The following is a 13,461-nucleotide window of genomic DNA, read 5'->3' on the forward strand; positions in this document are numbered from 1 at the left end:
GGTTAATCACTTATTCATTTTATAATAGTGTAAAAGTTACATACTGAAAGCTACAAATCATTTTATATTAACATGTGTGTCTGTTTGTCTGTCCATGAGTATGTGTGCATGTGCATGGAGGCTCAGGGTCCAGCAAAGGGTGCTAGGGATACAACACAGAGGGTGGCAGATCCTTGCTTCTCAGCTCTCTAGAACCAATTCTGTTCTGCTGCTGCCAGGTCTTTGCTCCATTATTTGTCCTATCTTCCTTATACAGTATCTGCAGCTTCTCTGCTGGCTTATTCTTAAGTATATACACATATATGTTATCTTCCATCTTTAAAAAATAATCCCCCTTTTAATAATCTCCACCTTTAGCTACAGCTTCTCTTCAGAGGTGAAAAAGTATTAATAGTCTATACTCAATATCTCTACTTTACTAATTCCCATTCACTCCAACTCACTGTAATATGGATTCTATTCCCCAACCCCCACCTGCAAGAGAGGAGGAGAGAGCAAGAGAGAGGGAAGGGGGAGGGAAGGAGGAAGGGAGGAGAGAGAAAAGTGCTAGAGGAGTGGGGTACAGGGGAAGGTAGGGAGGGAGACTTACAGGGATTGAAGAGAGGAGAATGCATTCACAAACCCTTTCTTACTCCTTACACTGGAACTGATTCTGACTGTAAACGTCGTCAGTGTTGCTCTTCTCCAAAATATATGGTACTGTGCCTGTTCTATTTCTGTCTCTCTATTTATTTATTTATTTTTTGAGACGGGGTCTGTCCCTGTCACCCAGGCTGGAGTGCAGTGGCACAAACACAGCTCACTGCAGCCTCAACCTCCCAGGCTCAAGTGATCCTCCCACCTCAGCCCCTCAAGAAGCTGAGACTACAGGCACACACCACCATGTCTGGCTGATATTTGTATTTTTGTAGAACAGTGTTTCACCATGTTGCCAAGGCTGGTCTTGCTCTCCTAGTCTCAAGCAGGCTCCACCTGCTTCAGCCTGCCAAAGTGTTGGGATTACAGGCGTGAACCACTGTACCCGGCTTCACTTTCTCTCTCTTCCTGGAGGAATGTCACCTGCAGTCAGTAGTCTTCTCTGACTCATACACTAATAAATCCCAAACCTGTATCTCTGTCCGACTTTTTTCCTGGTTTCCCAACCAATGTATCTACCTGCTGTTGGATACCTCTACAGGGATATCCTTCAACTTCAGCATGTCTACAGTTGACAGTTAACCTGTCAAACCAACTCTTCATCCTTGCATTTGCAATCTCAGTGAATGACACTATACATGCCTCTTTGAGTCATCCTAGATTTCTGCTTCATCTGTTTTTGCTAAACAGCCTCTAAGTCTTACTGATTCCACCTCCTGCATATCTGTTTTACATATTCTTCTGTGCCCCTATTATACTAGTTTAGGCTACTAGCATCTCTCATCAAGACAACATGTTCTAGTAATCTAATTAGTCCTCTTGCCTATTAGTGATTGCTTCTTGCCTAATGAGTGTGTCACAGCCACTAATACCTTTTCAGCCCACACATTGCATTTGTTTTATTTAAAACTCTTAGATATCTCTTCATTGTCTACAGGATAAATTTGAAACTCCTTAGCATAACCTGACCCCTAACCAACCTAACTGGGTTCATGTCCTACTCCCATCTTCTGTAGTTTGACTTCTAGCAGTCAAACCACGCGTAGTTCCCTGAACAAGCAATTTTGTTTCACTTTCTAGACCCTTAATTATACCTAGAATTCTACTTTCTGTCCCCAGTCCAGTTAACTTGCCATATTCTTCCTTCTCTCGAGTCAGCTTAGGCATCACTTGTAACTTTCCTTGATTTCCCAGAAGAGATTTAGGAGTCCTTATTCTGTGTTTAAATCACCCCTTTTATGTACCTTTATTATAATGTTTATCACATTCTATTGCAGTTCTCTTTTTACCTTTCAACTATATAAGCTCCTTGAGAACAAGAACTTTTTCTTTTCATCTACTGCTTAGCACAATACCTGGAACATAATAAGTGCTCCATAAATATTTGAGTTAACCTTTATAAAATACTAGAACATAGGTGATTTATGAATATGTGTTAGCTTAACCTGAAACATGCAGTGCTGACAACCTCTCCTACAAAGTATGTTTTCATGAAAGAGAGCGTAAATATAGTTTGATATTCATGCTGTAACATAAGTCACAATAATTCCACTGTAAATCCATTTTAAGATTTTTTTCCCCAGTGGCAATAAGAAAAATTATCTACCTATTGCATTCAGTTCATTTAGGAAAAACATAAAATTTACTTGAAAAATTTTAGCACGCATAGACCTGCAACTTATTGCCATTTATGGTAGGTATTTTGGACTTTTTGCACAGAATTTTAAAATGTGTCTAGTGCCATCTTATGAAGTGTGAGCCTTTTCCTTCATCTTTTGTCATTTTAATGTGTCTAGCTTCTACAGTTTTGTAAAATTGGTTTTATTATTTATTAAAATGGTTTATTATTTATTCTTAGAAGCACATGGAACAAGCAGCTATACCCCTGATAAGTCATCTTTTAATTTAGCTACAGTTGTTGCTGAAACACTTGGACTTGGTGTTCAAGAAGAATCTGTAAGTAATTGTTTAGTTTGGCAATAACATGAATTAATTTTATGTCTTTTTAGGTCAGTTCTTAGAGAATTAAGCAAGAGAATTGTTCTATCTAAAGATCTTGGGTAAAGGCCTGAAACAAAACTTACATTGTTAGAAAGTCCTATTTCTGTTGTCCAGCCCAGCAGTCTCAGAAATGTAGAATCTAGAATTCTTGGGATATGGGTTGAGTCAAAATTTAGGGGAGTAATTATGGCATAGAGATTTTGTCAACTTTCTTCCCTTCCCCCTCTCTCATGCCCCCTCCCTGCCCTCATCTAAGAGAAGACCTAAACCTTCAGGTTGATTTCAGAATTGTTGTTTTGTTTTGTTTTGTTTTTTAGAGATAGGATCTCATTGTGTTGCCCAGGGTGGAGTGCAGTGGCTATTCACAGACACAGTCATGGAGCCCTATAGCTTCAAACTCCTGGCCTCAAGTGATCCTCCCATCTCAGCCTCCCAAATAGCTGGGACTACAGACATATACCATTATGCCTAGCTAATTTTTTTTGTAGAGATGGGGGTCTCAACTGTGTTGCCCAGGCTGATCTCAAACACTTGGCCTCAAGAGATCCTCCTGCTTCAGCCTCTCAAAGTGTTGAGATTACAGGTGTGAGTCACCACATCCAGCTGTACTCTTATTAAGTTGTCTTGCTGTTGAATTTCTAAAAATTGAATTAGTTTTTCATTACATATAGATTTTTTTGTCCTTTCTAGTTTTAAATTCATTCTTAAATGATAATGGGTAGTTTTTAACCTTTGAACTTTGAATGTGTTTTAATAGTTTCTAATTCCCCCCTACCCATAAACCTGGCAAGTCACAGCTTAGACACCAAATAGATTAAGGGAGCTGAAATCTAATGACTTGCTGCTTGACGTGTGATCCATGGGCCAATAGCATCTGCATCAGTTTTGAAGTTTGGTAGAGATGCAGAATCTCAGACCTACTGAACTTGCATTGTAACAAAATCTCCAGTTGACTTGTATGCATGTTAAAGATTGAGAAGCACTGTTCTCTAAAGGATTATTTTAAATTCATCTCCTATCAGTATGAATAGTTATCTCTATTCCCTTCCCCTCATCTTAATGTTGTTTTTTGGAATTGGAGTTTTATATACAAGGAGTAGAATATACTTGTGTAAAACATTGAGGCTTTTCTCTTTAAACTTAAAAAGTGCTTCATATTTTTCATTGTGGTGAAATTAACATAACATAAATTAATTATTTTGAAGTGTACAACTCAGTGATATTTAGTACATTCATAATATTATGCAGCTATCACTTCTATCCAGTTCCAAAGCATTTTTATCACCTTCAAAGAAAACCTCATACCCATTAATCATGTATCCCCATTCTCCTCCCCTCATTCTTCCACCTCCCACTTGCATCCTCTGGCAACTTCCAATCTGCTTTCTGTCCCTAGAGATTTACCTATTCTGAATATTTCATATAAATGGAATCATACATTATGTGGCCTTTGTCTGGCTTCTTAGTATATTTTTGAGGTTCATCTACATCATAACATATATCAGTACTTCATCCCTTTTTAAGAATGAACAAATCCCATTACATGGATGTGCTTCATATTTTACTCTTGAAGGAAACTCAAGGTCCCATGAGCCCCCTTGGTGATGAGCTCTACCACTGTCTGGAAGGAAATCACAAGAAACAGCCTTTTGAGGAATCTACAAGAAATACTGAAGATAGTTTAAGGTAATTAAGGGCACGTTGGTGAAAACTGATAAGCTATTGGTGAGATCCCATTACAATGAATTTCATATAATTAAGCCATTTCTCTCCTTCAACATATAGTTTGTTATTGTGGTTATATAAATGTTTACTTTAAAAATTGTCTCCCTAGTTTCTGACCAATTGAGAGCTTTTTTGCATTACAGTAGAAAGGTGGATATCATTTTTAGCTACTTTCTGTGTTTCTGTCAAGCAGTACTTGTTCCCAGTACTTGTCACTCTGCTCCTTTAAAGAGCCAGTCATCCCTTCGGGGTTTATATTTCCCAAAACTGGATGTTCTACAAAATGCATCTAGAAGCTTGGATGAGCTTCCAAGATTGTGTTGCATCTCATTTTTACTAATTTCAGAATACCTATTAACTAATAATACAGCCATTCCGTGATATCAGTGGGGGATTAGTTATAGGACCCCCTCCCCCATGGGTACCAAAATCCAAAGATGCTCAAGTCCGTTACATAAAATGGCCATCATTATTGCATATAACCTGTGCATATCCTCCTGTATATTTTATGTAATTTCCAGATTATTTATAATACCTAATACAATGCCTACATATCAATCCATTTGCAAAGATTCAACATAGTACTTGGCACATGGAAAATTCAAGTTTTGCCTTTTGGAATGTTGTGAAATTTGGATTTTTTACCCAAATTATTTTCTAGCCACATGGCTGAATCTACAGATGCAGAACCCACAGATAAGGAGGGCCACTGTACCTGTATTTATATAGCATTTTGCTTTTTAAAAGAGCTTTCAGTTTTTAGATATATAGATATCTATCTATCTATATATGTATATCACAGTCTGTCATCTTAGTAACTGATTAAAGTAGATTTTGTTACCCTAATTTTTGGGTTTATTTTACAGATTACAAAAATACAGCTCCAGAAAGGTTAAATGTCTTGTTTCAGGCCACATAGCTATTAAGTGGTAGAGCCAGAGATCTTACCCAGCCCACATCTTCAAACTTACTGCTCTTTCTACGCATATTTCCTCTGCTAGAGACAGGCTGAATCTTAATTTATGTTCAATTCTGTAGTGTAAGAATTTTGTTTCTTGGAGTTACTCATGATCAAATGTCGTAACAAAAGAACTTAGGTTCTCAGTGGAATTTATTAAAATATGATTTTTGTTTGTTTGTTTCTTGAGACAGAGTCTCACTCTGTCACCCAGGCTTAGCTCACTGCAACCTCCACCTCCCAGGTTCAAGTGATTCTCGTGCCTTAGCCACCAGAGTAGCTGGGATTACTGGCGTGTGCCACCACACCCGGCTAATTTTTGTATTTTTAGTAGAGATGGGGTTTCACCATGTTAGCCAGGCTGGCCTCGAACTTCTGGCCTCAAGTGATCTGCCCACCTTGGCCTCCCAAAGTGCTGGGATTACAGGCATGAGCCACTGCGCCTGGCAAAAGATGATTTTTTGTATAATAAAGTTATTTAAAGTACTTAGGAAAAATTTTTAAAATATGAATATTATGGTGTTGAGAAATACTTCCTATGTCATTTTCCTCTGCTTTTCCCCTTCTCTTTTGTCATCTAAATGAAGAGAAGCCAAAAGCTGTACCTTGTCTTAAATTTTGGTTAATCATTTGCTTCTAAGAGGTAGATAAGACCTTACTATTAATTCTGTATTAAAGAATTGTTATCACTCTTTATTTAGATTTTCAGATTCTACTTCAAAGACTCCTCCTCAAGAAGAATTACCTACTCGAGTGTCATCTCCTGTATTTGGAGCTACCTCTAGTATCAAAAGTGGTTTAGATTTGAATACAAGTTTGTCCCCTTCTCTTTTACAGCCTGGGAAAAAAAAACATCTGAAAACACTCCCTTTTAGCAACACTTGTATATCTAGATTAGAAAAAACTAGATCAAAATCTGAAGATAGTGCCCTTTTCACACATCACAGTCTTGGGTCTGAAGTGAACAAGATCATTATCCAGTCATCTAATAAACAGATACTTATAAATAAAAATATAAGTGAATCCCTAGGTGAACAGAATAGGACTGAGTACGGTAAAGATTCTAACACTGATAAACATTTGGAGCCCCTGAAATCATTGGGAGGCCGAACATCCAAAAGGAAGAAAACTGAGGAAGAAAGTGAACATGAAGTAAGCTGCCCCCAAGCTTCTTTTGATAAAGAAAATGCTTTCCCTTTTCCAATGGATAATCAGTTTTCCATGAATGGAGACTGTGTGATGGATAAACCTCTGGATCTGTCTGATCGATTTTCAGCTATTCAGCGTCAAGAGAAAAGCCAAGGAAGTGAGACTTCTAAAAACAAATTTAGGCAAGTGACTCTTTATGAGGCTTTGAAGACCATTCCAAAGGGCTTTTCCTCAAGCCGTAAGGCCTCAGATGGCAACTGCACGTTGCCCAAAGATTCCCCAGGGGAGCCCTGTTCACAGGAATGCATCATCCTTCAGCCCTTGAATAAATGCTCTCCAGACAATAAACCATCATTACAAATAAAAGAAGAAAATGCTGTCTTTAAAATTCCTCTACGTCCACGTGAAAGTTTGGAGACTGAGAATGTTTTAGATGACATAAAGGTTTGTGTTAAATGTTCAAGGATTTTGATTAAAATGATTGCTTGTGATTTCATTTAGAGCTAACAATTATTTCTGTTTTAGAGTGCTGGTTCTCATGAGCCAATAAAAATACAAACCAGGTCAGACCATGGAGGATGTGAACTTGCATCAGTTCTTCAGTTAAATCCATGTAGAACTGGTAAAATAAAGTCTCTACAAAACAACCAAGGTGTGTACACCATAAACAGGATCTCCACTTTTTTAATGACTTCAGATTGAATGTCATTATTTACTTTTTTAAATAGATTGAATTGTTTTGGAAAAAAACTTATTTCTTCCTTCAGGTGTCTGTATTTATAGGACGATTCTCACATTTTACCGGTGATTTTTCTGTTCTTTTTTTTTTTTTTTTTTTTTTTTGAGACGGAGTCTCGCTCTGTCGCCCAGGCTGGAGTGCAGTGGCGCGATCTCGGCTCACTGCAAGCTCCGCCTCCCGGGTTCACACCATTCTCCTGCCTCAGCCTCCCGAGTAGCTGGGACTATAGGCGCCCACCATGCCCGGCTAATTTTTTTTTTTTGTATTTTTAGTAGAGACGGGGTTTCACCACATTAGCCAGGATGGTCTAGATCTCCTGACATCGTGATCCACCAGCGTCGGCCTCCCAAAGTGCTGGGATTACAGGCGTGAGTCACTGCGCCCGGCCACTTATATACGTTTTTAAACTCCTTTAAAAACATTGTTGGCCCGGTACGGTGGCTCACACCTGTAATCCCAGCACTTTGGGAGGCCGACGCTGGTGGATCACGATGTCAGGAGATCGAGACCATCCTGGCTAACGTGGTGAAACCCCATCTCTACTAAAAACACAAAAAATAAGCCAGGCATGGTGGCAGGCGCCTGTAGTCCCAGCTATTCGGGAGGCTGAGGCAGGAGAATGGTGTGAACCCGGGAGGTGGAGCTTGCAGTGAGCCGAGATCGTGCCACTGCACTGCACTCCAGCCTGGGTGACAGAGCAAGACTCCGTCTCAAAAAAAAAAAAGAAAAAAAAAATTGTTTGCCTTAAGATATATAGGCATCTTTTCATAATTTTGCTATATTTTATTATTATTATTATTATTATTTGAGACAGGGTCCTACTCTGTCACCCAGACTGGAGTGCAGTGGCATGATCACGGCTCACTTGCAGCCTTGACCTCCCAGGCTCAGGTGGATCCTCCCATCTCAGCCCCCTGGATAGCTGGGACTACAAGCATGCACCACCACACCCAGCTGATTTTTTTATTTTTTGAAGTGACTGGGTTTCGCCTTGTTGCCCAGGTTGGTCTCGAACTACTGGACTCAAGCCATCTGCCTGCCTTGGCCTCCCAAAGTGCTGGGATTACAGGTGTGAACCACCCACGCCCAGCCTGCTATCTTTAAAAAAGTAATTTTTTTTTTCAGCCACCAAACATTTCTGTAGTTCAAGTGCAGTATTTTTTCTTGTATTCTTCATTGGCAAGTTATTCCTTTATTCTGGGTTTATTTTCCCTTTTTCCTGAAGCACAGTCATTAGTTGTTTTTCCAGTGAGTGTTTTAGTCTCTATATGAAAACATTTTTTTCACTATCATTCATGATTTTTTTTGAGCTTTTTGTTTTTATTTTTTTCATGGTTGCTCTAGGGATTACAGTATCTACCTACTTAGCCTTTTACAATCTACTTGGAGTTAATGTACTATTTCATGTTCTGTAACTACACTTTATGTAGTTCCTGTGTATTTTATCTACATATATTGAAAACCCCATCAATGTTATAGTTTTTAATTTTAAAAAATTTTAATTGAAATATAAATCACATACCATAAAAATCACCCATTAAAATGTTCAATTCAGTGGTTTGGTATACCCACAGAGTTGTACAACCATCACTGTAGTCTAGGTTTACAACATTTTCATCACTTTCCTTCCCCATATACCCTCTGCAGTCCTAGGCACCTTAAATCTACTTTCTCTCTTTGTAGATTTGCCTATTCTGGGAGTTTTCATATAAATGGAATCGTTTAATATATGATCTTTTGTTACTTCTTTCACTTGGCATAATGTTTTCAGTTATCTGTGTTACAGCATATATCAATATTTTATTTCTTTTTATTGGATAATTTTTTATTGCATAAGTATACCATATTTTAGGTATTTATTAGCTGACATTCAAGTTGTCACTTTTTTGCTATTATGAACAATGCTGCTATGAACATTTGTATACAGGTTTTTGTGTGGATGTATGTTTTCATTTTTCTTGGATTATACCTAGGAGTGGAATTGTTGGGCCATATGCCAATTCTACATTTTACCTTTTGAAAGACTGCCTGTTTTCCAAAGCAGCTACACCATTTCACATTCCCACCAGCAGTATGTGAGGGTCCCAGTATCTCCACCTCCTCACTAGCACTTGTTATAGCTTTTTGATTTTTGCCATCTCGTGGTTTTGGTTTGCATTTCCTTGACTGCTGATGATGTTGAGCATCCTTTCATGTTTATTGGCAATTTGTATATCTTCTTTGGAGAACTGTCTATTTAGATCCTTTGCCCATCTTTAATTGGGATATTTGTCTTTTTATTATGGAGCTGTGAGAGTTCTTTATATATCTTAGATATAAGTCCTTTACCAGACATATGATTTGCAAAAATTTTCTATTCTTTAGGTCCCATAATATTTTAAAGTGATGAGAATTTTTGAAATCAGTTTTTTAATTGCATGCTCTTTCCCTTTACCTAAGATGTATCCTTTGAAAATATCCAGTGGAGTATAGATCCGGGAGCAGACCTTTCTCAGTATAAAATGGATGTTACTGTAATAGATACAAAGGTAAGTTAAAAAGTAAAACCAAAACTCATTTGACTTTTATTCCAATGAGTTGTTAGTCAACCTCCTCTCGTGACTCACTGTATCACCTTAAGATAATCAGATACGTCTTAAAACCTACATGTATTTATGCAGAAAATTAAGAAATAAAAATGCTTATTCTTCTAACTTTATGGTATTTTTTAAAGGGTAATACTTTCTGACTTTAAAGGCCTTTACTGAAAAATATTAATATAGTTTTTAAAAGAATGCAGTGGGCAGGCGCAGTGGCTCATGCCTGTAATCCCAACACTCTGGGAGGTCGAAGAGAGAGAATCACTTGAAGCCAGGAATTCGAGACCAGCCTGGGCAATATAGCAAGGCCCTGTCTCTATAGGAAATTTTAAAGTTAGCTGGGCATGGCAGTGCATACCTGTAGTCCTAGCTACTTGGGAGGCTGAGGTTGGGAGGATACCTTGAACCCAGGAATTCGAGGCTGCAGTGAGGTATGATCACACCACTGCACATCCAGCCTAGGCAACCAGAGCAAGACCCTGTCTCATAAATTAAAATAATGCAAAATGCTGCATATCTTATATAATTTTATCATTCATTAAAATAATTCATCATGTCTTCATTACCTTTAAAATAATGTACCATAAAATTCATTTTCCAAGTTGACTATTTTTAAAAGTTAAAATTCATAGTGGAAATAGTTTTTTGTCTTGTATTTAGCTTCTGTGTAGTTTCAGAAGTTCTCTTTCACTTGGTAGCATATTAATAACAAAGTATTTAACATACGCTGAGTAATATATGCCTATCAAGAAATTTAATTTAATTTTTGAAAGTGTTCTTAGTGTACATTGATGTTCATTACTATAAGGCAAATTGGAAAATAAAGGCAGGAAAAGTTCAGGGGTGTTTAGTGGTAAATAATTCTCCCTTTCCTTGGCAGCAGTCCTTCTTTTCCTAGGCTTGATTATATTGAAGCTAAAATGTTTTATAAGCAGTAAAACCTAAATCCTTACCTGTTCGTAAAGTATAAAAGCAAATATAGCTTAATGCTTAAAAGTTGTAAAATGTATGTTATGTATATTTTACCAAAATGTTTTGTAAAAATTAAATATAAGACCATAAAGGAATAATTGTTAAAATTTTTGATTTTTAAAATATTTATTTAGGATGGCAGTCAGTCAAAATTAGGAGGAGAGACAGTGGACATGGACTGTACATTGGTTAGTGAAACCGTTCTCTTAAAAATGAAGAAGCAAGAGCAGAAGGGAGAAAAAAGTTCAAGTAAGATCTGTTTTTGTTTTGTTATTTTTTTTAATAACGTTGTGTGAAGTTTGTAGTTGTACCATTGCACTGATTAGCTCAAGTGACCTCTTCACCATAAAGCAGGTTTTTTCCTGCTCTGTTAACTTTATGTTCCTCTTAGGAAAGCTCAGTTTCAGTGCGTCAGAAAAAAAGTCTTTAACCAAACTAATTTCATTTCAGAAAAGATTCATATGGCTTCCAGGGATTTGCAAATGACAGCCAGCTACCAGTTTTGTAAATAAAGTTCTACCAGAGCACAGCCTTATTCATTTCTTTATGTATTGCCCATCGCTGTTTGTTCCATACAGCTGCAGAGTTGAGTAGTTGATGCAGAGACCTTATAGCCCCACAAGCCTAAAATAGTTATTTTCTGACCCTTTAAGAAAAAGTTTGCTGATCCCTGGTGTAGACAATTTTTTATAAGTGGTATAACAGTAAGTCTTGAGTCCTGTGTTAGAATTAACGTTTTCTAAAGAAATTTGATAAGGAAAGAAAGGAGAAATCTACCGAGAAGTCTTAGTATAGTTTTACAGGTTAACATTCAGAATGATAGTGTATATGCTGAGTTAATCTGCTGTATTCCACCTCTACTGATAAGGCAATTTGGCCAAATTAGTGGTCTACAGCCCTTTGTAGTGAGAAACTATTAATTCTTTACCCAAAGTCTTGATTTTCCGGAAGAGATGAGAACAATAGGAGGATTTTGGTTAGCAGTACCTTAGCAACATTCCTAACTGTAGAGGCACATGACATGAGAACAGCTAGACTATGAACAGTTGTCATTTATCATCCTTATGTATTGAAGAGCGAGGGCCTGCCACATGGGGAAGCAGTGCTAAAAGCAGAGACATTCCCCAGTGATCATTTGTTAGAAGCCGAATACATTGAGGCTGGGTGTGCATTCCTTATCTTCTGCTGAATTTTCTATAGTCTACCTGCTCAGAGCAAAAAATAAAATAGTCTTGCCCTGGCTTCTTTTGAATCTACTTATCTACTGCTGCCTTAAATGCAGTAAATCAAAGAAAACTTTAGTAGTCTTTGCCTTATTTGTTCTTCAATGACAAATAGCAAACCATATGATGAAGCAGATGGTTACCTGGGTAGAGAAGCCAATACCTATTAAAAGAAAAAACCTTCACAGTAGTTTATTGCCATTTTATGGCTTGTATGACACTAAATAACTCTTCTTAAGAGGATACTTTGCTTTTAAGATTATTTTGTTCCTGATACTAGCCTCTGATCATGTTTTTCTCATTTTTGTAGAAAAGAGAAAATCTAAAGTATGACCACTTTAAATCTATTCAGAAGACAATAGTTTCTCAAATTTATTTGATGCAAGTATCATGTGAAAGAGAAATTAGCACTTGGACTAATGAGGGGAAATTATAGAGATAATTTTGGCTAATAAAGTGCTATGGATAGTATTGCTACATAATGAATGAATCACTTGAATAACTCAGAGGATTCAAACAATACCATTTTCTTATCTTCATAGTTCCTGTGGCTCAGGAATTCAGGAAAGGCTTGGCTGGTCAGTTCTGTTTCAGGGTCTCATGCAGTTGTAGGCAGATGGTGGCTGGAACTGAAACAGCAGAGGGCTGGGCAGCTGGAGAGTGAATTGGCATCTCCTCATTTACTCTCAGGGCTTATTCACTTAGGCTCATTTGAGCTTCCTCTTCACATGGAGGATAAGTTCCCAGAGTTGGCACCCCAACAGAACAAAGCAGAAGCAGGTGACATTTTTATGACCTCAGAGGTAACATAGTGTCACAAAGATCTGCACAGGCATAAAGCGAAATGAACAGGCCCTCAGTGACACTCAGTGGGAGGAGTGTTGACATCATGTTGTAAGAACCGCACATGGAATAGGAGACATTAGTGAGGTTATATTAAAAAAAAAAAAAATTACCCCATAAGGTAAAACTTTTCCAGCACTTAGAATTGGTTTAAAATGAAATATACCAATAAAAATTCCATATTACTGCCAGTATTTCAATTCAGAAAATTTTCATGCACCTACTCTGTTAGATTTTCTAGGTGCTGTGACAGAAAGATCAACAAGGATATACTCTCTGTCTTCAGGTATTTCGCAATCACAAATCAAACAAAAATAAATCATCAATTTAACATTTTGCTTTACAAACAGCATACACAGAATGTTCCGAGGATGCCTAGCACAATGCCTGGTGCATAGAAGTTGTATTTTATTTACATATTTGACCTTCAGCATGCAGAATAAATGTTTAATTATCAATAAATATCAAGCAAAAATTTTGTAGTAGGAAGTATTTTAGGAACTAGAGATAATGAATAAACAGAACAAAAGTACTTACCTTATGGAACGTACATTCTAATGAGAGAAATAAGCAATTGTATATATAATAGATGATGGTAAGTCCAGGAGAAAGGTAAAGCAAGGTAAGAGTGAGAGA

General features: G+C 37.4%; 1 protein-coding gene across 14 annotated transcripts in view; it reads left to right on the top strand.

Moving 5' to 3' along the window:
* Positions 1-13,461, top strand: part of RBBP8 (RB binding protein 8, endonuclease) — a 112,348-nt gene that overhangs the window by 72,588 nt on the left and 26,299 nt on the right. For all 14 annotated transcript variants that reach the window (XM_047437728.1, XM_006722519.3, XM_011526132.3 and 11 more), the window contains 6 exons: positions 2,495-2,592; positions 4,211-4,323; positions 6,022-6,913; positions 6,995-7,121; positions 9,648-9,736; positions 10,894-11,008. In XM_047437728.1, coding sequence (XP_047293684.1) covers positions 2,495-2,592; positions 4,211-4,323; positions 6,022-6,913; positions 6,995-7,121; positions 9,648-9,736; positions 10,894-11,008 — 1,434 coding nt within the window. The remainder of the gene's footprint in view (positions 1-2,494; positions 2,593-4,210; positions 4,324-6,021; positions 6,914-6,994; positions 7,122-9,647; positions 9,737-10,893; positions 11,009-13,461) is intronic.

Source organism: Homo sapiens, chromosome 18 (genome assembly GCF_000001405.40).
Source record: "Homo sapiens chromosome 18, GRCh38.p14 Primary Assembly".
NCBI lineage: Eukaryota > Metazoa > Chordata > Mammalia > Primates > Hominidae > Homo > Homo sapiens.